General features: G+C 45.4%; 1 protein-coding gene across 50 annotated transcripts in view, besides 3 other annotated features; it reads left to right on the top strand.

Moving 5' to 3' along the window:
* Nucleotides 1-27,364, top strand: part of UBR4 (ubiquitin protein ligase E3 component n-recognin 4) — a 135,757-nt gene that overhangs the window by 79,429 nt on the left and 28,964 nt on the right. For all 50 annotated transcript variants that reach the window (XM_047416518.1, XM_047416514.1, XM_047416523.1 and 47 more), the window contains 27 exons: nt 1,764-1,860; nt 2,520-2,627; nt 3,099-3,215; nt 4,183-4,392; nt 6,148-6,297; nt 7,778-8,005; nt 8,826-8,904; nt 9,404-9,649; nt 10,490-10,658; nt 11,137-11,281; nt 11,881-11,966; nt 12,928-13,015; nt 13,424-13,617; nt 15,201-15,440; nt 15,889-16,027; nt 16,768-16,893; nt 17,011-17,139; nt 17,971-18,314; nt 20,006-20,096; nt 20,374-20,458; nt 20,615-20,742; nt 23,872-24,001; nt 24,112-24,269; nt 24,996-25,105; nt 25,649-25,790; nt 26,172-26,253; nt 26,581-26,754. In XM_047416518.1, the coding sequence (XP_047272474.1) occupies nt 1,764-1,860; nt 2,520-2,627; nt 3,099-3,215; nt 4,183-4,392; nt 6,148-6,297; nt 7,778-8,005; nt 8,826-8,904; nt 9,404-9,649; nt 10,490-10,658; nt 11,137-11,281; nt 11,881-11,966; nt 12,928-13,015; nt 13,424-13,617; nt 15,201-15,440; nt 15,889-16,027; nt 16,768-16,893; nt 17,011-17,139; nt 17,971-18,314; nt 20,006-20,096; nt 20,374-20,458; nt 20,615-20,742; nt 23,872-24,001; nt 24,112-24,269; nt 24,996-25,105; nt 25,649-25,790; nt 26,172-26,253; nt 26,581-26,754 (3,995 nt within the window). The remainder of the gene's footprint in view (nt 1-1,763; nt 1,861-2,519; nt 2,628-3,098; nt 3,216-4,182; nt 4,393-6,147; nt 6,298-7,777; nt 8,006-8,825; nt 8,905-9,403; nt 9,650-10,489; nt 10,659-11,136; nt 11,282-11,880; nt 11,967-12,927; nt 13,016-13,423; nt 13,618-15,200; nt 15,441-15,888; nt 16,028-16,767; nt 16,894-17,010; nt 17,140-17,970; nt 18,315-20,005; nt 20,097-20,373; nt 20,459-20,614; nt 20,743-23,871; nt 24,002-24,111; nt 24,270-24,995; nt 25,106-25,648; nt 25,791-26,171; nt 26,254-26,580; nt 26,755-27,364) is intronic.
* Nucleotides 3,281-4,080: an enhancer, noted in NCBI's record as "NANOG hESC enhancer chr1:19453252-19454051 (GRCh37/hg19 assembly coordinates)". NCBI's record gives its function as "activates a minimal SCP1, AML or CMV promoter by ChIP-STARR-seq in primed H9 embryonic stem cells {active_cell/tissue: H9 hESC(primed)}" and the evidence as "EXISTENCE:reporter gene assay evidence [ECO:0000049][PMID:30033119]".
* Nucleotides 7,486-8,685: an enhancer, noted in NCBI's record as "MED14-independent group 3 enhancer chr1:19448647-19449846 (GRCh37/hg19 assembly coordinates)". NCBI's record gives its function as "activates an origin of replication core promoter dependent on BRD2, BRD4, P300/CBP and CDK7 cofactors, and independent of MED14, by STARR-seq in HCT116 cells {active_cell/tissue: HCT116}" and the evidence as "EXISTENCE:reporter gene assay evidence [ECO:0000049][PMID:35650434]".
* Nucleotides 10,083-11,282: an enhancer, noted in NCBI's record as "BRD4-independent group 4 enhancer chr1:19446050-19447249 (GRCh37/hg19 assembly coordinates)". NCBI's record gives its function as "activates an origin of replication core promoter dependent on BRD2, P300/CBP, MED14 and CDK7 cofactors, and independent of BRD4, by STARR-seq in HCT116 cells {active_cell/tissue: HCT116}" and the evidence as "EXISTENCE:reporter gene assay evidence [ECO:0000049][PMID:35650434]".

Raw genomic sequence — 27,364 nt, 5'->3', positions numbered from 1 at the left:
ACTTTTTTCTTCATGTGTGTGTATTCACTTGTATGTTCTCCAAATCTGAAGATATTAATCCATCTCAAAACAAAGCCGTCTTATGTTTTATGTTCAAACTATTGAACTGCTGCTGTCATCTCACCTTTCCTCACTTGTACCTTGTTCATCTTTGAGCAATTCTTAAACGTTTGTAGTCCCCACCTAGCTTGGCTAATTATTAACAGACACATGCGTGGTATTCTGAAGAACAGTTAGCTCATTCCTTTGAGTTCTTTTTAGAATGACAATAATTTATAATTCACGTAAGACCCCGTACTTTCTTTCATTCGTTCTATTTTTAGAGACAGGGACTTGCTCTGTTGTTCAGGCTGGAGTGCAGTGGCATGATCATGGCTCACTGTAACCTTGAACTCCTGGGATCAAGTGATCTTCCTGAGGCAGGACTACAGGCACATGGCACCACGTCTGGCTAATTTTTAAATTTTTTGTAGAGATGAGGTCTTGCTATGTTTCCCTGGCTGGTCTTGAACTCCTGCCTCAGCCTCCAAGTGTTGAAAGACGTGAGCTACCACACCCAACCCTAGACCCTGTACTTTCATCCAGACTTGTATTACTTTGAAAATATTCTGGGCTGGGGACAGTAGCTCACTTCAGCTCTGTTGCCCAGGCTAGTTTGCAGTGGTATGATCATAGCTCACTGCATCTTTGAATTCCTGGGCTCAACCAATCCTCCCTTCTTAGTCTCCTGAATTGCTGGGATGATAGGCACACCACCATGTCCAGCTATTTTCTTTAAAACAATTTTTTTGGTCCTTTTTTGTATTTAAAAACATTTTGTTTTTAAGAAAAGAAAAAGACAATATTCTGGATACCTGCTAAGATATGTAACACATGCCAATCACACATTAAAAAAAATAGGTATATGGTTTCTTACAAATAATCTGAAGATAAAAATGAGACAAGGACCATTTGCTAATTATGAAAGTGAATCCATTGATTTATTCAGCAACTAGATTCTTAATCTGTATGAGATTGTGTATTAGGTGAGACTAGCAACCAAATTGTCAGTAGGACTTTAATTAATTTTCATCATCCTCTTGAATCAGCATATTAGCTAGAGATCCAGGGGCACATACTTAGTACAGAAGGTCAGCTGTATATCTGCAGATGAAGGCTAGGTAATGGCCAGTTGATTATACGGGAAAACTCATGGGTCCAGTAGGACAGTGTGGCATTGAAACAGAACATTATATTAGGAAGATGGTGGACAAGGTGTGAGAGAGTAGAGCAGTGACTGGACTTTATAAGAATTTGGGAAACGTGAGAAAGAAAGGGCTGGGTCACTGTGCAGCTGGGTGATATAGAATTTGTATATAGCAGAATTCTAGAAAATAATGTCTGGAGGCAGAATAGGGCCACATATTAGAAAAAAGCCATAAATCTTGCAGTTGGAGGTTTGGTTTTGAAACTGAGAACTACTAGGGCCTGGAGGCTTGGGAAATACTTTGAACTTCCCTGTAGTAGGATTTAATTCAGTGCCATCAGTTGTATTTTAGAATAGTTTCACTTTCTTTTAACAGAGTGGGATCTCTCCTTCTGTGTTGCTGACTGGCATACCGATTAGGCAGTTCTTAACTTTTTTTTTTAATGCTGGAGATTGTTCCTAAGCATTAGGCTTCTTGTTGACCTTGGTAGCAGGGTGGGGTTGGGGAGGGAACTGTATTCAGCTGTGTCCTGTTGGAGTACAGCTCATATTTTCTATCTTTTCCCCACCCTTTTAGGCTGCACATGGTCCGTCTAATGCTGTTGGAGAGATTACTGCAGACCCTGCCTCAATTACGAAACGTTGGCGGTGTCCGGGCCATCCCATACATGCAGGTATCTCTTAGCTCACCTGGATCTCTGTCAGGTCATGATTGGACCGTCCTTAAGCATGCCCACATCTCTCTTCCAGAGGACCTGGAAGCCTTCGTTTGGTGTTAGGCCACAGAATAATGAAATCTAATTTTTGAGCTACAAATTATAGCTCTTCATTTTATAAATGAGAAAGCTAAGGGTCAGAGAATTTTTTAAATGCACAAGTTCATCCAGGTAGTTATTGACAGAGCCAGTGCAAAAGCCCACTTCTGAGATTCTGAGTCTCTAGTCTTTATGTTGATATTAGAGTGTGGGCCAATAGCTGTTCTTCCACTCACTAGCTGTCTTCCTCAGAGGCAAAACTGTTCTTTAATTCTTAGTTTGGTGTACCACCCTTTCTCAAGCTACTTGCTTGGATATAATATAGGTTAGTCCATTAATTTTACAAACTTTTTACAAAACATTTTTTTGTAATGTCAAGTGTGGCATATATCAGAATTTGACTTTTCTGACTCTGAACACTGAAGCTTTGGATACCTGGAATTTAGAACGCTATAATGGATTACAGTTATGATTGATAGGGATGTCAGGAAGATTAGGATTTCTTCTGAAACACCCCGTATTTCAAGTCGTTCTTCTTTAGGAAATTGGGTTTTGTGTTTTCTGTCTTTGACTTCTAGGTCATTCTAATGCTCACTACAGATCTGGATGGAGAAGATGAGAAAGACAAGGGGGCCCTAGACAACCTGCTCTCCCAGCTTATTGCTGAGTTGGGTATGGATAAAAAGGTAAAATCTGAGAGGCAGACTGTGTGAGAAACAGGATTGGCTGAGATCCTTTCTCAGGTTCCCATTCGTTTCATAGAGGAACTTCACCTCGTTTCAAGGGGTAACCATCCACTGAGGGCTGCATTCTGTTGAGTCAACAAAAGCGTATTCAGGGCCTGCTTTGGCCCGAGCATAGTTTTGGACCCTGAGCATAGTTGAGGGCAAAGATGAAGTTCTTACCCTCATGGCCCTTTTGTGCTCAGTGAGGTGAGAACATTAAATTAGTTGTTCGTATCTTAATATGGCCTCTTAAGTGTATCGGGCTCTAGGTACCCCAAGTATAGTCCATGGATATACTGGGGGTTGTTTTGTGTCTGATTCAATCTGAGGAACATTTTAGGGCTGATGGGCTTGACTTGAAGGGATCTTGTTCAGAGGATGCCTCAAGCATCGAGTAAGTAGAGGTTTCTGGACTTACGCTTTGGCCTGCAGGATGTCTCCAAGAAGAATGAGCGCAGCGCCCTGAATGAAGTCCATCTGGTAGTAATGAGACTCCTGAGTGTCTTCATGTCCCGCACCAAATCTGGATCCAAGTCTTCCATATGTGAGGTATTTTTGCTTTGGGTTCATGGGTTTGGGGAAAGGTAAGCGGATTGTCTGGGTAGTGCTAGGGCCAGCACAGAGGTGGTAGTCCTCTGTAAGAATAAAGCCATTGTTCCCTGAGGGGAGTAAGATTCTAAGCTGTCACCTTTTCAAGAGCAGAACCTCCACCTTTTCCCGAATCCCTTCCAAGCTCTGGTCTTTGGTAACAATCCCTCCAATGGAGGGGTAAAAGGGTTTGGAAGTTCCATTATTGAAGAGCAGGGCTCTCTTCTGCAAGGCACAGAGTGGCTAAGAGGATTCCCCTAGTGTATGTTGCTATAAGGTATGGTAATAAAGCAGAGAGAAAGCAATGTGTGTGTGGTGAAAGGAGATTAGCATAAAGCAGAGAAGGTAGAAATTGAGGCTGAACTGCATCCAATCTTAATGAGCTTAGGGAGCTGTGGGGTTTGCTGGGATTTGCAAGGCTCTTCTAATGGTCTTATTTACAGTAGCTTTTCTCCTTTTTTATGCATGTGATCACTCACCCCCAACTCCTTTGGAAGCTGGTTCTATGGAAGACTCTACAGGGGGTGGGGTGGGGTCGTTCAGAAGTGCCTATAATGGAAAGTTTTCTCTCTCCTTCTTGAATTGGGCTTCTTTTCTAGTTGCTCAAGATAAAAGAGGAAACGCGTCCCCTCCAGGGGGAAAGGTTATTTAATCCTTGCCTCCCTGGCTTCTGGCATATGTGCGTGTAGCAAGGTTAGAGTTGAGAACAGATGTGTTTCTTTGTTTGTCTTACCATGTGGTTGTTCAAAAAAGTTCTGAAAAACCTCACAAACTTCCTTGGGGAAGTTTCAGTGCAAGAGCCTGATTCACTCACTGCCATAAAAGCTAAGACTGTTGTGAGTGTGTTTCCCATCCCCAACACCCACCTGGATTTCACATTGTTTTTACAAGCCATTCTTCCCATCTCTGTATTTTCTCTGTCTCCCAGTCATCTTCCCTCATCTCCAGTGCCACAGCAGCAGCTCTACTGAGCTCTGGGGCTGTGGACTACTGCCTGCACGTGCTCAAATCACTGCTGGAATATTGGAAGAGCCAACAGAATGACGAGGAGCCTGTGGCTACCAGCCAGTTGCTGAAACCACATACTACCTCCTCCCCACCTGACATGAGCCCATTCTTTCTCCGCCAGTATGTGAAGGTGAGATCTTTCCCTCATCAAAGAAACACTCGTCCTTTGTTCAGAGCACTCTTCTCTTTCCTCGCGGTGCAGAGAGCTCAAGGGGCTGAGGGTGAAGAGCCATAGGAAGGAGCCGGCATTCCTTGGTGGGGGTTAATCTCGGCGTGATTGAATAAATGACCACTTCTCCCAACCTTCTGTGGGATTCTCATTCCTGCCTCTTTGTAAATTGGAGGAATTGAATGAGATCATGGTTATCTCGTTTCACATTAAGTTTAGAAAAAGATGAGAAGGTACAAGCTAATGTCATGAGTTGTGGGTCATGACATGTGTGTCAGATATTCCCTGTGCTGTCACCACTGAGAGGCCCTTTAACGTACTTATTAAGAAGATGGGCCTTCTGATCAGATTGATCTGGGATAAGTCCCATCTTGTGTTCTTACTTACCAGTCTTGAAGCATGGAGAAGTTCTGTCTGTCTAACCTCCCTAACCTTCAGCTTCTACAGCTGGAAAATGAGCATACAGATGGTATCTGCTTTACAGGGCTGTTGTGAGCATTGAATGAGGTGCCCTTTGTAAAGGACTTAGCACAATGCCTAGCATGTATCAATGCCCAGTCCGTATTAACTGATATCACCAGTCTCTTCCTCACTGCCCCCTCAGAATAGCTTTGAGTAGGGTAGGAATACGATAGGCATAGAGTGTGGATCTGATCGTTGTCTTGCTCTTTTTTCATGACTCTTTGGTGGTTTTCCATAACTTACAGGCCAAAGAGTTCTGGAGGACCCAGCCACCTGCTTGACTCTAGCTTTGTCACCTATAACACCCTACACGCAGCCCTGCCAGCCTGCACATTTCCCAAGGTGTGGCGTGTTGCCTTTGTTCATGCTGTCCCTTCTGGAATTCTTTCCTCTCCCTCTGCTCCCCTTTCTTCTCCTGTCTAGCGAATTCCTAGCCCATCTTCAAGATCCAGCACGAGCTTTGGATCCTTGGGAAAACTTCCCTAACATATACTCCCTGCCATCAAGTCTGCTCAAGAGAGCCTTGTCCTGGGTTCCCGGAGCACCCTGTGTGCTCCTTCACCTGTCTTCCCCTCTACACTCTCAGCAGAAACCATATTTTATTCCTGTTTACAACTCCAGTGCTTGATACAGAACTGATGAATAACTGGGAGTTGAATATGTGAGACACGTTGTGCCCTCAAACTCTTACAGATTCTTTTTATGGGACCACACAGCTTGCAGGATAGCTGTTGTTTCCACTGTCCTCACATCTCTCATTTACCTCTGCCTTTTTGTGTTACATGAAGCCAGGAATCTTGGCTGAGTTTAGTGATCTTGCCCACCTTGGTTTATTTAACAATTTCTTGTTATCATGGGAAATTTTGGTTCTAGGGATAGAATACATCTCATAGAAGTCAGAGATCCTTACTCCCTTTTTCTTTTTTTTTTCCAATTTTTTTGGCCTTTCTAGCACTCATCTTTATGTAGGCAGAGTACAATCAACCCAATGTCAAAAACCATAGAGTGAAATATTAGGACTTTTAGGAAGTGAGGTCTGCCTCCACTGTAACCTTTGCATGTAATTAAATTGGCCGCAGAAGCCTGGGCCTTCTGGGTTTATAGAATAAACTGTCAGTCAGTCTTGATTCCAGCTCTGAAAGGCACCCTTTACCACCTCCAACATGTAATACGTCTAATGAGCCAGGCTTTTTCCTAATTGTGGTCATGGAAAATCGATAGTCACAGGTTCTCATGCAAATTTTCTTCTCCCAGGGTCATGCTGCTGATGTGTTTGAGGCCTATACTCAGCTTCTAACAGAAATGGTACTGAGGCTTCCTTACCAAATCAAAAAGATTACTGACACCAATTCTCGAATCCCACCTCCTGTCTTTGACCACTCGTGGTTTTACTTTCTCTCCGAGGTAAGTGAAAGTCCCAAGCTGCATGCTTGTTGGGCTGAGGACACATCTGCATTCACCTCTGTGGGCCCCTTTCTTCCTCATCCTTACTTGGTATTTCCCCTTGCAGAGTCCCTTTCACCTTTGTAGGTCTTGGTCTTGCCCTTCTGGAACATACTGTGTGGTAGAACTGTGGGAGATGTGTATCAAACAAGCCATACTTTACCTTCTGATTCTGTGTGTTGAACTTCGCCTCACGTGCTGATAATGGGCAAGTTTAATAATTTAGGTTCTGTCAGAAAAACAAAGTATACTAGTTATCTTAATAGAGAGATTTCAATATGGGAAATTGGGTAAATGCTGTTGGACAACAAAAAAGATAAAAAGGAAACATGAGGTAACACAGGGATAGTAACTGCCTGAAGCAGTTATCAGGAAGTGGGTTCCCTGAGGGGATGTGATGCGGTTGATGCTGGGAGCAGTGAGAGAAGCTGATGATTAGAACTCACTGTGGCTGCCAGGGTGCAGGGCTGTTGCTAGGACTGCAGGCAGATGGGAAGAAGCAAGCCCCTTCTTCCTCCTGCTGCCAGTGTCCCTCCCTGTTGGCAGAACCTAAGAGGGAGCCAGCTGGCAAAGAAGTAGTGCATTGGCATAATTCTGGCCTCAGCATCACTGGGCAGTGTCAGTAGGGGTGGGTTGGGAACTGAGAGACAATGGCTTTAATAACCTTAGTAACCAGACAGCAACCCTGAGATAGATTAACTCTGGGAAGAATAATCTGTTAGCAAACCTCAGATGAGGATTTTGAGTTACATAGTTGTACCAACCCAATCTTCTCTTTAGCTCTTTTACCTGAAAAAGAGATTTGGAATGGTTTTTTTCTTGATAGTTTCCCTTTGGGTGGGCTGAAGTGGAGTCCAGCTTGCCTGTAGATTCCTAAGGGCACAAGGAAGAGATGCATGAATATTGGTATTTTCCTCTTTGATTTCTTTCTCTCCCTTTCTTTCTCCTGGTCTCATTAAAGGATATTTAAGTTTAAGAGAGGCTGGTTTGGTCAAGAGGAAATAGCTTGGTTTGTGTTTCTCCCCAGCCTTTGTTTTTTTTTTTTTTTTTAAGACCAAGTCTCACTCTGTTGACCCAGGTTGGAGTGCAGTGACACGATCTCTGCTCACTGCAACCTCCGCCCTCTGGGTTCAAGCAATTCTTCTGCCTCAGCCTCCCTAGTAGCTGGGATTACAGGCAGTGCTACCACGGCCAGCTAATTTTTGTATTGTTGGTAGAGATGGGGTTTCACCATGTTGGCCAGGCTGGTCTCAAATTCCTGACCTCAAGTGATCAGCCCACCTCGGCATTCCAAAGTGCTGGGATTACAGCTGTGAGCCACCGTGCCCGGCCTGTCCCCAGCTTTTAATAACAGTTTATTAAAACCCAGGGTGTGAGAGCCACAGTTGATATAGATACAGTCCCAGAGTCATTTACTCTTTGTGGTGTTTTTCTTCTCAAGTACCTCATGATCCAGCAGACTCCATTTGTGCGCCGTCAAGTCCGCAAACTTCTGCTCTTCATCTGTGGATCCAAAGAGAAGTACCGCCAGCTCCGGGATTTGCACACCCTGGACTCTCACGTGCGTGGGATCAAGAAGCTGCTAGAAGAGCAGGGGATATTCCTCCGGGCAAGTGTGGTTACAGCCAGCTCAGGCTCCGCCTTGCAATATGACACACTCATCAGCCTGGTACGAGGGCTGGGACCTGGTAGGGCAGGGAGGGGGGATGTGATAAGGCTTAGCCAAGTAGGTAATAGGGCTGGAGGTAATAATGCAGGACTTTTAACTGTGTTGACAATGGCATGGTTAGGGCTGAGATGAGGGTAAATCCATAACCCCTGTCTGGGTGCTGTACCATGTGTAGTTGGCTTCAGGATCTGGGATGTCCCCCTCAGCACTCTCATCCCACCTGGCAGCAGTTCCTCCACTGTGAGGTGAGTGGCCCGAGCTTCTTACCAGTGCCATTTGCTTACATCCTAGTCAGGACTGATCTCTTTGTGCACCTCTGGTTTTTACCCTTGAATACTAAAGAAATGATGAAGGTTCGAGTAGAAAAATGTATTGCTGCCTAAAGAGAAACTGTTTGGACTTAGAGGAGTAAACTGAGTATTTTGTATGTGAACAACCTAGAAAGAACGTCTTTAATCTAGCTGGCTCATGTTCTTGCTTATCGTTATATATCAAGAAAAGTAAACTGGATTATAGTTTCTTAGGTCATGGTCTACCTTTTGCTGTTGCCTTATTGAGTAGTCTGAAGGTTCCTGAAAACAGCGCCTTGCGTGGGGATGGGGTAGAACAAAGGCAGGTTCGGTAAGAGCTGCAGCGGTTGCAGCAGTGTGTGGGTCATGGTCCCAGGTTGACCAGACATCTCAGCAAGCATCTGCCTTGCTCAGAAGATCATGTTCAGGTGTAGTCCAAAGTCAGGGAGATGGCTCCAGGCAGCAGGTGTGGTGCTTGTCTGGGCAATGTGGTGGAGTTACTCCTTTCCCGTGGTTGGTTCCTATTTCAGATGGAGCACCTGAAAGCCTGTGCAGAGATTGCCGCCCAGCGAACCATCAACTGGCAGAAATTCTGCATCAAAGATGACTGTAAGCAATGCTGCTCCTTTTGATTGCTGTTATTCATTCATTCAGGAACTGTTAAGGCCTACTATATGCCAAGCACTGAACTGGATGCTGGAGATATAGCTGTGAACAAGATAGACTAGACAGAACTCTGTCTAGCAAAGAAGACAAGTAAAAATCTAAAAGAGTGGTGAGGGCTGGTCGTCAAAGTTTGGGGAGCTGTAGAAGCACAAAGTAGGAGTCTCTGACCTCCAGGTAGTGGCAGTAAAGTCAAAGAGGAGTAGGTGGAGTCTAGAGAACCCCTTATTCAAAGGAGCAGGGGGCTCTGGTCGGTGTGTAGTTAAAATACTTTTCAGAGATTTCCACAGAAAGTATAACTTCTTCACAATGTCCAGCAGAGAGAACATGGCAAAGAAAGCTGGTGAGAACAGGGCAGTCTCAGCTGTAGGGAGACGTTGTTTTGGTTCTCCTGAGTCTGGTTGAGGTCGTCTCAGAGGTGAGCCTCTGTCTCCTCTGCTTGCAGCCGTCCTGTACTTCCTCCTCCAAGTCAGTTTCCTTGTGGATGAGGGCGTGTCCCCAGTGCTGCTGCAACTGCTCTCCTGTGCTCTGTGCGGCAGCAAGGTGCTCGCTGCACTGGCAGCCTCTTCGGGATCCTCCAGTGCTTCTTCCTCCTCAGCCCCTGTGGCTGCCAGTTCTGGACAAGCCACAACACAGTCCAAGTCTTCCACTAAAAAGAGCAAGAAAGAAGAAAAAGAAAAGGAGAAAGATGGTAAGGGTCACCCTCTTGTCATTGTGACTACAATGATGTATGTAAATCTCTCTTGGAGCACATGGTTTGTCCTGTTGTAAAAGGTCTTTTAATCCTGATTTAGAGGGGACTTAAAGCCCAAATGTTCTCTAGTGTCTACTTTTGGTCTCATTTTCAATTATACTGAAGTGACACCTTAAACAGCATGACTTCTCATACCAAGTGACAGTAATAAGAAAAGTCAAAGTGCACTGAACATTTTTAGTAGACCAAATTTCTTATTCTGTGAAATAATAACACCTTCTCTATGGAGCTCCCATCAGAGTTCAGTGAAATGACACTGAGTACATTGGTAAATGCTCAGTAAATGTTAGCTCTCTTAGCTGACCCTCACCATCAGCTGCACTGCTTTCCATGGTCCTTGGAGACCTGAGATCAGTGGTCAGGGTTGAGAGCCATGGTGGTGGTTCACATTCCCCCAGTTAATGATCAGACATCTCTGTGTAGGCCTATTGCAAGCCCTTGAAAGGAAGTTCCTCCTCCTCCAGTGTCACTGTATTTGTTCAGTGCCAGCTTACATAGCACTTTATCCTGTGGTTTTTAGTGTCATTATTGTATGTCTTGTCTGGAAGGCAGCTGTGCTCACCACTGCATCACCAACGTTACACATATGTCTCATTTGGGGCTGACCTATTTGTCCCCCAGTAAACAACTAAAAATTGTTTTGCAGAATATCAGCATTCAGTAGAAACTTTTAGAAATGGACAGAATTCCCTCCCTCACCATTTGGTAGCCCAGGCCTTAGGACCCTGGAGGACTTCTTCCTACTCTTCAGCCCTTAGTCCTGTCCTAATCTTGCAGGTGAGACCTCTGGCAGCCAGGAGGACCAGCTGTGCACAGCTCTGGTGAACCAGCTGAACAAATTTGCCGATAAGGAAACCCTGATCCAGTTCCTGCGTTGTTTCCTGTTAGAGTCCAATTCTTCCTCGGTGCGCTGGCAGGCCCACTGTCTGACACTGCACATCTACAGGTAGGGCCAGGGCTTGGTTTGACAGATCTGCAAGGGTGTGAGGCCAGGGTGCGTAATGCAGTTCTATTTTGTTTTCGGTTACATATGGTCACAGAGTCAGTAGTTACGCCAGCCTGAATCCTCTTGTGCTTTAGAGATTTCTTTATTGTTGTCTGCTTTTTAGCCATTAAACTGACGTCATAGGCAGGAGACGATCTGTTTTCTACTCAGAAGGCTATGTATCGGGGTTTGTAACATGACCAAGCTTGACCCTTCAGGCTAAAAAAGCTCAGCTTCTGCTCTGGGATATGTTGGGTGATGGGTAGAGGCAGCAAATGACTATGCTGCATCTGGTAGGATTGATTGTCAAAAGTGAAACAAAACCGTTCAAACTTAACCCATAATTGTGGGGAAATTGAGGTACCAGAGCCTCAATGATAAACACAGGTGCCTCAGGGTTTTCTGCTGCTTGGTAACATGAGCTGTCATATATCCACAGAAATTCCAGCAAATCTCAACAGGAGCTCCTGCTAGATCTGATGTGGTCCATCTGGCCAGAACTCCCAGCCTATGGTCGTAAGGCTGCCCAGTTTGTGGACCTACTAGGATATTTCTCCCTGAAAACTCCACAAACAGAGAAGAAGGTAACAGTTGCTTTATGGTCAGAGGGGCCAACTTGCCATATTTAACCTTTTTTCTCTTGAGTTAAGAATATTATGAACAACCCAGATATAGGGAGTCCATATAGGAAACCTCTTTTAAATATATCTAGTTTTGCATTTCTTGGTAAGCACTCGTAATATGTCTGTGATGTAGACAGTATACACTAACAAATCTAACTTAACATAGGACGTAGGTCAAGGTCAGGTGGGGAAAGAAGATAGAACTCATTACAGTTCCTTGGAAAAGCAAGTGCTCCTTGTTTTGCTAGTAGCCCTGATTATACATACCAGAAAATGTTTCTGCAATTAGCTAACCATTTTATGGCTTCTCCATAAAAATAAAAATGATCTTCCTCCATCAGGTCAGAAAAGGGTACTACCTATCACTAAAGCTCATGGAAACTTCTAAAGGAGATAGAATCCATTTAAATGATTGAAATTAGGCCCAGCTTTGTATGATTCTGACTGAGAAGTCTGGTAGGTCTAGGGCAGTATTCAGCTAGAATGCAGAAGACAAAAGTCTTTTCCAATAAGACTTCACCTTGGGCTTTAAGTTGTTTCTTTACTGAATTCTGTTTCAGTTGAAGGAGTATTCACAGAAGGCTGTGGAGATTCTGCGGACTCAAAACCATATTCTTACCAACCACCCCAACTCGAACATTTATAAGTGAGCTTTGTTTTGCTTTCTACCTGTGGGAAGCTCAGTCAGCATTCTGAGGAGTTATTTGCATGGTGATAGGCTCTTACATAGGAATTGACAAGCGCCTGAGAGAAGAGCGAATCTGCCTAGTTGAGATTCCAATCCCCTCCATGTAGGCCAGGGTCTTGCAAATAGAAGGTACTCAAAATGTCATTGCTGAGTTCAGGGTTTGGTGAGTAGTAATGTAGAAAGGTCTGTATAGCCTGGGCAACATAGTGAGACTTCATCTCTTAAAAAAAAATTTAAAAAAGTTAGCCAGGCGTGGTGGCGTGTACCTGTGGTCCCAGCTGCTGGGGAGGCTGAGGCAGGAGGATGGCTTGGGGCCAGAAGTTCGAGGGTGCAATGAACTGTGATCCACGCCACTGCACTCCAGCCTGGGTGACAGAGTGAGACCCTGTCTCAAAAAAAAAAAAAAAAAAAGGTCTTTAGTTTCAAGGGTTTAAGTTAAATAAGGTGAAACAAATTTAAAGAAAATGTCTTCCTTTTTTTAAAAAAACTTCTAAAAGAGGATATTGGTTAAATTGACAGTTTATTATTTCTCTGGTTTAGTAGTGACTGTTCTTTAAAAAAAATTTAAAAAAACTTTATTGAGATAATTTATGTATTAACCTATTTTAAATGTACAGTTCAATGATTTTTAGTAAATTTAATTGTGACTCTTGAGTCAAATTTTACTACTTTTTAGAATTCCTCTGAAGGATAGATCAAAGATTAGGAAACATCTAAGGTCAGTTAGTTGAAATTTCTTTCCTGTGGCTTCGTAACCCTATTGGGATTTCTCCTGTGTCCTTGAGTTCTCACTAGGGTGGGGCTCACTTTGGGCTCACTTTGGCTCACATTGAGCCATGGCTTTGTCATGATTTTTTTGTGAAACTCAGTGCTTCCTAAGATGAAAATGTGTTCATGCTAAGACTGGTTTCTTCCTTAGCACTTTGTCTGGCTTAGTGGAGTTTGATGGCTATTACCTGGAGAGCGATCCCTGCCTGGTGTGTAATAACCCGGAAGTACCGTTCTGTGTAAGTAACATCTGTACATGGACAGTCCTGAGGCCAATAGGTCCAGTGGGATTCTTGTTTCCAGAGATGGATCATTATCACATAGATGTTCCTCTCCTAATGGTTGGTCACCGATAGTAGGAATTTTTATCTGCCACATTTATTACCTTAAATAGAAACTTGGCTGGGTGCAGTGGCTCAAGCCTATAATCCCAGTACTTTGGGAGGCTAAGATGGGAGGATCCCCTGAGCCCAGGGGTTTTAGACCAGCCTGGGCAAGATGGTGAGACCCCATCTCTACAAAATATTTTTTAAAAAATTAAATAGAAACTTCATCTTGTGGATGAAGAGTGGGTTACACTGATGAATTTTTAAAAAGGCAGTACGAGTCTTGAACTAATACCATGTTTTGTGAACTCTTGTATTTAGTATATCAAGCTGTCTTCCATTAAAGTGGACACGCGGTACACCACCACCCAGCAGGTTGTGAAGCTCATTGGCAGTCACACCATCAGCAAAGTGACAGTGAAAATCGGGGATCTGAAACGGACCAAGATGGTGCGGACCATCAACCTGTATTATAACAACCGAACCGTGCAGGCCATCGTGGAGTTGAAAAACAAGTACGGGCTTTTTAGGCCTCGGGAGGGGCAGCAGGTTGTAAGGCTGAAGCTCAGTTGCTGCCTTCGGTTCCTGGAATGGAGTAAGGCAGCACATCCCTAGAGGCCTAATACATCCTCTTGGCCCCTCCATTCATGACCAAAGGACAAAAGTGAAACAACAGTTCTAAGCATGTTGACAAAGATTATTTCTAAATTAGCCCAGTGGAGCCATAGGGGTCTGTGGAAGTTCCTCAACAGCCTGCCTAGGGAGGGGAAGCTGAGTGAGGGGACCTCCAGGCTTCTCATGCCCATTTTAACTATTCTTACACAAAGGTCTAGACTTAGATAAAACCTTCTGTATTGGGAAGTAATTGTCATTTCTTGGATTAAGACAGCTATGCTCTTGCTCACAGGGCAGAAAGTTATTTCTCAAGAAGCTTCTTTAGTACACACACTCTTCGATTTCCACATGGTGCCTTTTCTCTGTATCTGCTGATACTGGATCTTCCTAGCCCATGTATCCCAGTGACTGAACCAGGGCATGTCATATTTAGGCCAAGAGAGGCACTCACATGGGTTATAGTGTTGACTTTCACAGAGACAGATCGCCTTTTTTTGAACTCTCAGGCATTGCTACTGAAGGGAGAACACAGGTTGACACTACTTGAATAGTAAGACTTACAGAGCTGTTCTGCACACAGGATGGAAGTATTGCTGTTATTCCAAGAGGCAGAATAAGGCTCATGTACCACAGCAACACGTGGCCATGAAGGCTGCCTAGGGAGGTTTTCTCTTCTTGCCTTGAAAAGCCTAGTTTAACCTTGGTGACCTGAAAGTAGATGCTGCACATTAGGGTGGCCCATTCCCCTCCAGAGGAGGTGGGTTTGATTTTTCATTGTGTGGAGTCAGCAGAGCTACTGGTAGACTATTTGGGTTCAGATCCCAGCTCTGCTACATAGCTCTGTGACCTTAGAGAAGCTGCTTAACCTCAGTTTCTGTAACTATAAAATGGAGGTAGGACCCCACTTCCAGGGTTTAAGGATTAAATGAGTTAGTATGTGTCAGGTGCTGAGAACAGAGCCTAGTACATAGTAAGTACTCAGTAAATATTAGCTCTCATTGTGTTATATAATCACCCCAAAATTATTACATACCTTCCTCTTTATGACTTGACTTAGCACTTGGTTCAGACCCTGATTTTCTTCCTCTGCCTCTCTAAAATAGCCTGGGTTTATCTTTCCAAGGTTGCTGTCAGGATGGGAACTTGGCATGCATCATCATTGCACCTCTTACAGGCTTCAGTGTGGCATGCTTTTGGAGTCATGGTTTCCCTTGTTATATACTTCTGTTGTTTTCCTGGAATTTCAAAAGGTATCATGTATAACAGCTTAAAGCACTTGTATGTTCTTTCCTTTTTTTATAGAGAAAAGGTAGTAGAAAACTTTTTTAAAACTGGCTTCCTATTATATGCCAGATTTCTTTTCCTTAGAGTAACCACTTAATTGCCTTAGAAAAATACATGGGACAGTCTTCCTCTTTGTCTCATCAGACTGTTATCACTGAGGGTTAGATGAGAAAATCTCAAGGCTGTCTGTCTTTCCTAGGCCAGCTCGCTGGCACAAAGCCAAGAAGGTTCAGCTGACCCCTGGACAGACAGAGGTGAAGATTGACCTGCCGTTGCCCATTGTGGCCTCCAATCTGATGATTGAGTTTGCAGACTTCTATGAAAACTACCAGGCCTCCACAGAGACCCTGCAGTGCCCTCGCTGTAGTGCCTCGGTCCCTGCCAACCCAGGAGTCTGTGGCAACTGTGGAGAGAATGTGTACCAGTGTCACAAATGCAGGTAAGTCATTGGTCATCCCCTAGGCCAGGGCTGTGCACATTCCTTGTTATTTTTCTGTAGTAGTGTCAGTGTGAGCAATTACAGTGTCTGATTCCCTCAGAACATTTAGAGAATTATGGGTTTGTAGAGTGGGTTCAAGGGTAGAAAGGGAGGAGGAAGAAGAGAGAGTGAGTGAGTGTGTGTGTGTGTGTGTGTGTGCATGTGCACACGAGTGTGTCTGTCCTGTGGCAGGGGTGGAGGGTAAGGGCGGAGGGAGGTCCAGAAGTTTAGCTCTGGGTCTTGCTTTCTTGTTACCTGGCTGCTTAAGTCATTCATTTGTTATTGTCCCTTCAGTAGCCCCTGCAGTAGTTACCAGAGTATATAAATGTGGCACAATCCATTTCCTCAGAGTGACCCCCACCCCACCCAGCCTTGTCACCTTACTGACCCAAACGCTTTGGTTACTCAGATCCATCAACTACGATGAAAAGGATCCCTTCCTCTGCAATGCCTGTGGCTTCTGTAAATATGCCCGCTTCGACTTCATGCTCTATGCCAAGCCTTGCTGTGCAGTGGATCCCATTGAGAATGAAGAAGACCGGAAGAAGGTGAGGCCAGATCTGGCCTAGACTCAGGGCTGTGGCCTTGATCTGGACTTTGGGCAGACCTGGTGCAGTGCAGTGCACTTTACTTTCTAGCCTAAGCCTTCTTCGACTCAACACCAGTTTCAGGGCCCAGCTTTTGGGTGGGAGCAAAGAATGGCATGAGGTATATTGTATTGAAAGACATGGTTTGCATAGGATTTTAGAAAAGTGTTGATTGGTAATGAAACTAGAGTATCTCCAGGTACAGATAACTTTGGATTTGGATGCTTTGCCCTGCATTTCTTCCACAGACTGCTTCATATTGAGGCTGCTGGCCCTCCCTCAGTATTAGATTGTCCAGTGCTAGTTCCCAGCCTGCATAATATGGGCAGGGGCGGGGGGAGGTTCTAGATATTAAAGAACAGTGAAAAAGGGGCACCTATAGGGTTAACAGAAGAACATTTAGCTTTGGAGTCAGAAGGACAGAAATTCTAATTCCAGCCATACTTTTAATACTTGTGTAACCTAGTATAAGTTACTTCTCTCAGCATTGTATTATTATATATCACAGATGTGTATTGTATTTTTATTAGAAATAATATACCCACCTCACAGGAAAGATTATTGTGAAGAACAGAGATAATGTATGAAACACAGTGCCTGACCTATAGGAAATGTTCTGGTAAATGGTTAGCAGTGAGGATTACTCAGGGAAAGTCATCAGCCAAAAAGCCTTCACTCAGTCCCTGTCTTTTCCTGTCTAGGCTGTATCCAACATCAATACACTTTTGGACAAAGCTGATCGAGTGTATCATCAGCTGATGGGACACCGGCCACAGCTGGAGAACCTGCTCTGCAAAGTGAATGAGGCAGCTCCAGAAAAGCCACAGGTAGTCCCACGCTGCAAAGGGCATTTGGATAAGGGCTTGGGTCTTGATCAGAAGACTGCCTCCTAGGTGAGATCACCTTAGGTGGGGAGCCTGACAGCTTACCTCTTGGGGTTGCAGGATGACTCAGGAACAGCAGGGGGCATCAGCTCCACTTCTGCCAGTGTGAATCGTTACATCCTGCAGTTGGCTCAGGAGTATTGTGGAGACTGCAAGAACTCTTTTGATGAACTCTCCAAAATCATCCAGGTAGAGAGCGGGGAGCAGCTTTTGGGTGTGTTTTGTCCAAGTGTTACTGGTGTTGTTTTCACAGCAGTCCTGCTGCTCTCTCATCTAGCAGTCCAGGTCTTGGTGTTGTCCCTGCCCAATCTAGCTGAAAAGGCAGGCAGATGGCTGCACCAAACGGCATCTCCCCCACCGTGATTTATGGCGCTGGTCAGAATGCTGAGTTCATGCTAGATAACTGAACATACTGGTGATGGGAAGGTAACACAGATAAGGGTTTTTTTTAGCCATTAACAACCCATCTCTTAGTAGAGGGGTTACTGGTCTTAAAAAATTTGATGCCAAGATTCTGTTCCCTCTTCTGATAACGCCGTGTTTGCAGGCTGTAGGGTAAGGGCATACCAACTGCAATCAACCAGGGTGGGCCTTGTGTCAGTTGCAATGTCACAGACCTAATCTCCATGAGATGGGAGGCTGGCCATAGACAGAGGTACCTCATATAAGGAGAGCATCCAGTTTACCTTCCCCCTCAACCCCAAATTGCTGGAGTGCCATCTTTGCTACACGTGTATTAGCTTCTGACCTTTGTCTTTGTTACATGGGAGTTAAGAGCATAAGCCTGCCATCTGAGTCTGAGTTCTGACTCTGCCACTTATCTTGGTCAAGCCACTTTCTCCAAGCTTCAGTTTCCTTCTCTGTAAAATGGAGATAAAGCATCTAACCAGTTGGGTTATTGAGAAGATTAAGTTATATAATGCATGTAAAGTTTTTTCTAAAGCAAAACTAATTTTCTAATTAACATCCTCTTCTTATTTTAATTGCTAATTCCCATTATTGTTGCCTTTTTGTTCTTAGAAAGTCTTTGCTTCGCGCAAAGAGTTGTTGGAATATGACCTACAGCAGAGGGAAGCAGCCACTAAATCATCCCGGACCTCCGTGCAGCCCACATTCACTGCCAGCCAGTACCGTGCCTTATCCGTCCTGGGCTGTGGCCACACATCCTCCACCAAGTGCTATGGCTGCGCCTCGGCTGTCACAGAACATTGTATCACACTACTTCGGGCCCTGGCCACCAACCCAGCCTTGAGGCACATCCTTGTCTCCCAGGGCCTTATCCGGGAGCTCTTTGATTATAATCTTCGCCGAGGGGCTGCGGCCATGCGGGAGGAGGTCCGCCAGCTCATGTGCCTCCTAACTCGGTCAGTACCTACACCATGGTTATGGGCCTAGTGGTTCCTACTGACACTGGCAGCCATGCCAGGAGCGTTAGAGAGTGCACAGAATAGTGCTTCTGACCACCCAGCAAGTTAGGTAGCTTATAACAAAGGAAAGATGGAAAGAGACACAGGGTGTAGGTGAGCGAGCTTGGGGAGCATTGAAACCCAGGTTTCCTTGTAAATGGCATGATTGGCTTGTGCTTTTTTGGTTCCAGTACAGTGTCTTGAGGAAACTCTCCCTGAGGCCTTGTGAGGGAAGGGAAGGGAGACACTTGAACTCGAGAAAGACTCACATGAAAGAAGCAGAGCAGTGGGGCCTGGAGATTAAGAGCTTGGACTCTGGATTGGAAAGGCTCAGTTTCAGTATCTGATACCTTGTACTATACGCCTTGGACAGATTCCTTAATTTCTCTGAGTCTGTGTTTTCCTCATCTGAAAAATACTGACAGTAGGCTGGGCACAGTGGCTCTTGCCCGTAATCCCAGCACTTTGGCACCTGAGGCTGGCAGATCACTTGAGGTCAGGAGTTCAAGACCAGCCTGGCCAACATGGTAAAACCTCGTCTCCATTAAAAATACAAAAATAGGGCCAGGTGCTGTGGCTCATGCCTGTAATCCCAGCACTTTGGCAGGCCAAGGCGGGTGGATCACCTGAGGTCGGGAGTTCAAGACCAGCCTGACCAACATGGAGAAACCCCATCTCCACTGAAAATACAAAATTAGACAGGTGTAGTGGTGCATGCCTGTAATCTCAGCTACTTGGGAGGCTGAGACAGGAGAATCGCTTGAACCTGGGAGGCGGAGATTGTGGTGAGTCGAAATCGTGCCATTGCACTCCAGCCTGGGCAACAAGCGAGACTCCGTCTCAAAAAAAAAAAAAAAATACAAAAATAGGGCTGAACAGGCTCACACCTGTAATCCCAGCACTTTGGGAGGTCAAGGCAGGCAGATCACGAGGTCAGGAGTTGATCATGAGGTCATGGCAATGTCTCAGCAGTGGGCTGCATGCCTAGGAAGTAGCAAGTGGGTAGTTGAGAGCAGGCACCTGCCAGGAATGCTAGGGCATCACAAGGAACCCGTGTAGCTGGAGACAGGGATGCAGTAGGGAAGACTCGGGAGGAGGCTTAGGTCAGAGGGTGCGAGGGCCAGATCCCATAGGGTCTTGTGGGCCTCTGTAAGGACTTTGGGGCTTATTCAGTATGTTGGGAAGCAAGAGTGAGTGATACGGTTTGTGTTTTTTATTAATAGTGGGAACATTGTTACAAAGAGACGTAAACTGGAATATGAGGGCCTTGTGGAAAATGAAATGCAGGCAGATGGAGAAGACAGGGAAAGAGTTGTGACCAAGACTGAGAGTGGACGTCTAGGTTTTGGAGACTGTGTCACACCAGACAGCAGGGGCTCTGTCGCCTGGGACATGGGCCCCATAAGGTGGTGCTGCTCTTCCCTCAGTTAGCTTCTGTTCATAGGCAAGGCGGCTGTAATGGGCCCTTTATTATTACCGACCACGGTTTTGTGAAGCTAAAGTTCTAGTCTTGCCCCGGGAAGGAAGTAGAAAATTTGGGGCCAGGTAGCCTTAGACATTGATTTCATTTTCCCTGGGCCCCTTCAGGTGGAAAGGAGTGTCACACCTGATTGTGAATTATAGGACTCCATTTCTATTTGCTTCTGCAGAGACAACCCAGAAGCCACCCAACAGATGAATGACCTGATTATTGGCAAGGTCTCCACAGCCCTGAAGGGCCACTGGGCCAACCCCGATCTGGTGAGCCGGCCTAGCAGGCCCAGCTGTCCTCTCTGACTTCCCCTCACATGCCTTGTGTTTCTCAGCTTCCCCTCCCAGGTCCTGCGGTGACTGAGGAGGGAAGGAGCAGAACATTACCCCAGAATGGTTTTCCCAGGGAAGAGCCTGGAGCACAAGGGTCTCCGTCTGTCCTTTGTCTCTGTTGGAGCCACCTAGGACCAGAAATTGTATTAATAGTTAAGAGTCGCTGGACCGGAGCTGACCCTCTTGACTCATGTCTCTTCCCATTGCCTTCTAGGCAAGTAGCCTGCAGTATGAAATGCTGCTGCTGACGGATTCTATCTCCAAGGAGGACAGCTGCTGGGAGCTCCGGTTACGCTGTGGTGAGTTAGGGGATTTTCAGAGAAAGGAAAGGAGGCTCAAAGGAGCAGTCCTGGCCGGACTGGGAGGGGAGGAGGGAAACTGATGCTTGGGCGGCCTCTGCAGAGCAGATGTGTAGTGTTCCTGATTGTGACTCTGCCTTTCCTGACCATCCCTAGCTCTCAGCCTTTTCCTCATGGCTGTGAACATTAAGACTCCTGTGGTGGTTGAAAACATTACCCTCATGTGCCTGAGGATCTTGCAGAAGCTGATAAAACCACCTGCTCCCACTAGCAAGAAGAACAAGGTACTGGGCCAAGCAGGGGTCTAACAAGGAAGGGCAGGGCGGCCACCCTCCTCATTCCCTGGCAGTGTGCCCTGCCTCCTCATGGTCTCCGCTTTGCCTTGAGCCCACCTCCCCTGAGAGGCTCCAGTGCAGCCTTTGCCTTAGTTCAGCAGATATGGGTTGGGATTTTTGAGAAGGATGGTTCAAGTAAAATAAACATGAAACTGCAAAGCAGAGAGCAAAGTGGCTAGCTGTGAAGGATGAACTCTTTCCAGTCATGTTAGATAACTTGCAGCCCCCAGAAAGCATTGTGTCCTTCCTACCCCTGTGCCTTTGCACATGCAGTGCTGTGCGGTGATAGAAATCCCAGGCTCTGAAGCAGACTTCCTGAGTTCAAATTCCAGCGCTTCCATTTATTAGCATCATGATGTTGGGCAAGTTGTTCCTTAGTTTCCCCATCTATAAAATGGGAATATAGTCTCCACCTTGAAGTGTTGTGAAAAATAAATGACATAATGCAGACTAAGTGATCAAAACGGTGTCTGCCTAAGTTAATCCTTAACAAATGTTAGCTGTGGCTATCTCCTGCTTTCTTTGCCTAGAATGTTTTCCTTCACTTTGTTAGCTGCTCCTTAGAGGGTCAGTTCTCTACTAGGCTAGCTGTGAGCTCCTTGATTCCAGGAACTGGACCATCTTAGTAATACTTTTTATGTCTAGTATATAGGATGGTATAACATCTATAATAGCTGCTTAGTGAATTATTATTAAGTGAATAAATGAAACCAAGTTTTTATCCTAAAATAACTGTAGCTGAGCCACAGATTGACTTGCTTGTATCAGCTTTTGAATTGGGAGGCCATAGTTCTTTCTTTGGGCCATGCCTAAGGCTCTGCCACCAACTTGCCCTGGATTGGGCCTTGGGTCCTTCTGACTCCTGTTCTGTCTGATGGGCCATCCCTTTTGGGCAACAGAGTCCTCATGGCAGGAAGATTGCTTTTTGAGTGCTAAGCACTAGGGTTATGATGTGGGGAAGCTGGACATTGAAGCTGCCTTCAGAAAAGGCAGCACGGGGCACTCTGCTTCCTTCCCTTTGATGGAGGAATTATTTCCCCCCAGATTCCCAGCAACTAAAATCAGCCCTTGGTTGAGAAGAGGACACCCATCCCTATATGACCATCCTTGTTTCCACAGTGGGAGGCAAAGGGAGATTTTTCACGGAATTACTTGCCCTGTAAGGACTGAGGCCTGGTGTGGATGTTCACAATTTGCTCCGTGTAACTTAGCGAGAGCAGCAGTTCCTAAAATCTGGCTCACAGACTCCGGGGTGTTCTTGAGACTGTCAAAGATCTGTGAGGACAAAGTTATTTTCATAATTGTCCTAAGACACTATTTGCCCCTGTAATTCTTCTGATGTTTGTGCTGACGGTAGAAAACCTTTGCTGCTGGGGAGACAGCCAGTGCCTTAGGTTGACGAGGCGGTGGCCCTGTGCAGTTCTTCACTGCCACCCGGTTTCATCAAGAATATCCTTGATGAAACAGTACAAATTAATTTTATTAAATCTCCACTCTTGGGTACTAATCTATTTAATGCTCAGTGTGACAAAATGAGTACACAGAAAGCGCCTCTGCTGCACCCCAAGTACAGCAGTTGTGCTGAGAAAAGGCACTTGTGTGAGATGCAAGCCAAACCAGCTGCCTTTCCATGGATCTCCGCTTGTGCTTGAAAAAAATGGCTGATGGGCAAATTGTGGTTGTTCAGGCTTAGGTATTTGGCAGATTTTTCCTCAAAATGAATGAAGTGAGCTTTAAGAAGAACTGACATAACTGTGTAAACCAGTGTTTTCTAAATGACCAATGCATGTTATAGTATCCTGCCGGGTAAAAGATGAAGGTTAGTGTAATGAAGTATGAAAAGTTTATTGATGTGATTTCAGAGTCCATACTACAGCTAATCTTTCAGACCCTGTAATTTGTTGAGTTTTGGTATAGTCTCAATGAAAAAAATCCACAACTAGTTGAAAAAGGTATTAAAATATTCTTTCCTTTTCCAACTGTATATCTGTATGAGGCCAAATGTTTTTCATATACTTCAACCAAAACAACCTGTCATGACAATTTAACTATAGAAACCGATATGAGAATCCAGATGTCTTATAAAGCAGTCATTAAACAATTATCAAAAATGTAAAACAGTGCCACGTCTTTCTGTAGGTTATTTTTGTTTTGGAAAATATAAAATTTATGTTGACAAATAATAGATTTACTCTTCTTTTTCAATGAATTAACAAATATCTTCAGAATTTCTCAGTGTTTTATTTTTTATTTTTTTTTTGAGACAGGGTCCCATTCTGTCACCCAGGCTGGAGTGCAGTGGTATGATCTCGGCTCACTGCAAACCCTGCCTCCTGGGTGCAAGCAATCCTCCTGCCTCAGCCCCCTTAGTAGCTGGGACTACAGGCATATACTACCGTGCCCAGCTAATTTTTTTGTATTTTGTATCGAAATGGAGTTTCACCATATTAGCCAGGCTGGTCTCGAACTCCTGGACTAAAGCATCATCTGTCTGCCTTGGCCTCCCAAAGTGCTGGGATTATAGGCGTGAGTCACCGCGCCCGGCCAGTTTTAGTTTTTAACATGAGAAATGGCAATAGATACAACCATGTAAAGCAAAGCTCTCTGGAGTCCGTAATAATTTTTGAAGATTGTAACAGGGTTCTGAGGCCAAACAGCTTGAGACACGCTGGACTGGAGTGTCATCTGTGGCTCTCTCTCTGCAGGCTGCTTCTGGTTAGTGACAGTTTGCATTCTGGAGGCTGCTTGTGACCCTAGGAAGGTTTTTGCTTAGGAAACTGCAAATCAGCCGTGGGATAGGAATTAGTGTAAGTGCTATAGGATTGTAGGAAGCCAGCCACAGCTTCTGCTGCACAATAAAAATGAGTGACCTTAAGCTCAATGTGGAGATGCTGCTGCTAAATTGGATCAAAATGGTTTAACAGGAACACATATTTGGGCATAAGAGATACACGTGTTGATCCTCCTGATCTTCTTGCCTTTGCACATCACCCCCTGGGGCACCAGTGCCATGCTGTTGGGGCTATGGCTCAGGTGTGCCCTTGAGCGCCCTCACCTTGCTCCACTTGCCTCCTCCAGGATGTCCCCGTTGAGGCCCTCACCACGGTGAAGCCATACTGCAATGAGATCCATGCCCAGGCTCAACTGTGGCTCAAGAGAGACCCCAAGGCATCCTATGATGCCTGGAAGAAGTGTCTTCCTATCAGAGGTATATCTTTCTCTTCAAGACGCCGGGAAGTCCTGCCTGCGCTCTGACAGCCCTGCCTTCTGTCACTCTCATTTACTTACCTACTACCCCTGCAACCCTTGGCCTTGCAGGGATAGATGGCAATGGGAAAGCCCCCAGCAAATCAGAGCTCCGCCATCTCTATTTGACTGAGAAGTATGTGTGGAGGTGGAAACAGTTCCTGAGTCGTCGGGGGAAGAGGACCTCCCCCTTGGATCTCAAACTGGGGCATAACAACTGGCTGCGACAAGTGAGTGGCCACTTCTGGACTCTTCACCCCCTGCGCCCCTGACCCCAGACTCTGAGCAATATGTTTCTGCCCCTCACCATGTGTCTGCACTGCCATCTCTTCTTTCTCTTTGCTCTTCTTGCTTCCTTTCAAATAGGGAGTGAGTACAGGTTCTTGGTTGTAGCTGTTGGGCTAGCATGGTGGACTGGCCGAAACAGAACTTCCTCTGCTTATCTTAACACGCTCCTTGTGCTTTCTGCTTTCCTCCCTGACCATAGTCCCTTTTCTCCTTCCATTTTTCGTATCTTCTGCTGTCCTTTCTCTCCCTCCTCTCTCTAGCTAAAGTAATTCTATGTTAGGTAATCCATTTGTCCATTGATATATAAAATAAGAAATACTTGGTTTACATTTAAATGAAAGTATTCAGCATATAAGTGTCCCCAAAAAAGAATGATCAGCATCTTTGCTAAGGAAGATCCCTTTTTCCTACTTCACTTATTGTAGGTATGTTCTTCACATCTCCTGATGGAGAAGTCTCCAGGCAGAAGCAGGGCTCTTTCACAGCCCCTTTCCCCATCTAAAACAGTAGAGTCTTGTGTTAGCTGGTGATTTTTACCTCTTAACATTTTCCTAGAGAGGTGCCCAGAAGACCTCTCCTAGATGGGTGGCAGTTGACTGCCCTGCTGGGGGCCTGGTGAGGCAGGGCATCCTCTGAGTCTACGACCCCTTCTCTCCCCTGTCCTGCAGGTGCTTTTCACTCCAGCAACGCAGGCCGCACGGCAGGCAGCCTGTACCATTGTGGAAGCTCTAGCCACCATTCCCAGCCGCAAGCAGCAGGTCCTGGACCTGCTTACCAGGTACCATTTGGGAGTGGGATGAGGAGCGTGGTTAGACTTGCTCTAGAGCCTTTTCATCTTCCCCGGGGAATCCATGGATCAGGGTAATGAGAGGCACACCTCTGGGTAGAAGACCCCAGAAACAACAAAGTGTTAAAAAGCTGACTTTTAGTGATGGTAGTGGTGGTGGTCGTTGTGGTGAGGGTGTTAGCAGCAGCAGCAGCTAATATTTGAGATCTTATGCAGCTAATATTGATCGAGATTGAGTGCATAAATGCTTGGCATGCATTATCTTATTTAATTCTCTCATAGCAATCAGTGCCAAAATATGAATGCTTAGATTCTGTGGCATTCACTCCCTGCAGTGTGCTCTGAATGCTTCCTAGATGTGGGAAATTCCCATGTGGGAATTGGAGCTGTCTTGGATGCTGTTCCTCCACCCTCTAGGAAGCAGGAGAGACAGACAGCAGAAGATAGGAAAGATTGGGAGGAGAAAGGGGAGCCTTGGAGCTGTTCGAAATGCTAGAGTTCTTGACTAGAGTGCCCTGTCCCTCTTGGTGGCAGTTACCTGGATGAGCTGAGCATAGCTGGGGAGTGTGCAGCTGAGTACCTGGCTCTCTACCAGAAGCTCATCACTTCTGCGCACTGGAAAGTCTACTTGGCAGCTCGGGGAGTCCTACCCTATGTGGGCAACCTCATCACCAAGGTATCCTACCCTATTGCCCAAGAGAGCCCCTTCCCTAATTCCCCCTTGTACCTTGATGTAAACTCTACTATGGTGTTTTGTTTGTTTGTTTTTGCTGAGAAGAAATATTTGTTGAAGGTGTTTGGAAATATTTTTATGACTTCATTGTATTTATTATGTAGCTGTAGCAAACTCTTGGGAGCATTTGGACTGTTTACAGTTTTTAAGCAATCCCTTACCAGCGCTGTGACTGTTGGCTTCCTGGAAAGGAGTTCTGCAAGGGTTCGATTAAGAAGATGTAACTACAGAGTGTCTGGTGCTGCAAGCTCCTGGGACAGTGGTGGAGGTAACTGGTATCCTTGGCAGTGATATCACACTGACTGCACTTGTCATCCTGTTTAGGAAATAGCTCGTCTGCTGGCCCTGGAGGAGGCTACCCTGAGTACCGATCTGCAGCAGGGTTATGCCCTTAAAAGTCTCACAGGTAAAGAGCCACCTGGACCTTCCTTTAGGGCATCCTGAATCTGTTTAGGGACAACCCTTAGTTCCTTGGGTGCTGGGGTTGACTCTCTTCTCTCTGGTACTGACCTTAGTGCAGATTTAAGCTCTGCATTTTTTTTCTGTATTGATACGTTTATGATTTTGAGACCCTGTTTGCTATTGACTGTTTCCGCTTGTTGAACACCTGCTCTGTGCCATGCACAAAGATAGATTTTCCCTGCTTTTTGAGTTGCTCATAATCTTTTGAGACACAGACTGTCCTTATGTTTTCATCCAGAGCTCTCACAGCAACATTTTCCTGTCTCCACAGGCCTTCTCTCCTCCTTTGTTGAGGTGGAATCCATCAAAAGACATTTTAAAAGTCGCTTGGTGGGTACTGTGCTGAATGGATACCTGTGCTTGCGGAAGCTGGTGGTGCAGAGGACCAAGCTGATCGATGAGACGCAGGACATGCTGCTGGAGATGCTGGAGGACATGACCACAGGTAGCACTGCCCAGTGGCCTGGAGCCTAAGGCACTGTCCCTTCTGGGGCTGCCGAGGTGCATTCGACCAATTTCCCCCAGTTCCACAGATCCAGAGGAGGGGTGGCAAACATCTCCCTGCATTCAAAGGGAGACTCATTTCTTGACAAAGTGTTGGCTCTTGGAATTTTAAATTCTAGAGCTGGGCTCAGTCACTTTGGATTTTTCATGTTGAGCTTATAGAGTGGTGCAAGGTCAAAGGCTCTCTCATTGGTGTCTTCTATCAGTCTGGAAAATTCTCAGCCATTGTCTCTTTAATCCCCTCTGCTGTATTCTCTTTCTTTTCCTTGTGAAACTCCATTTTCACTCTGTCATCCATATCTCTCCATCTCTCATAATGTTCATCTCATTGTGTATTTATGCTGCATTTTTGACAATTTGTTCAATTCAGTTTTTCTTCACTGTGTGCAAATGTTTAATCTACCTGTTGAATTCTTGTGGTTCTAGATTTTATGGTCTCTTTTTTATTTTTCATTTTTTGAGACCAAGTTTCACTCTTGTTGCCCAGGCTGGAGTGCAGTGACGCGATCTTGGCTCACCGCAACCTCTGCCTCCAGGATTCAAGCGATTCG

The sequence above is a fragment of the Homo sapiens genome, chromosome 1, assembly GCF_000001405.40.
Source record: "Homo sapiens chromosome 1, GRCh38.p14 Primary Assembly".
Taxonomy (NCBI): Eukaryota; Metazoa; Chordata; class Mammalia; order Primates; family Hominidae; genus Homo; species Homo sapiens.
The sequence above is the reverse complement of the archived record's forward strand: the minus strand, read 5'-3'. Positions and strand labels throughout refer to the sequence as shown.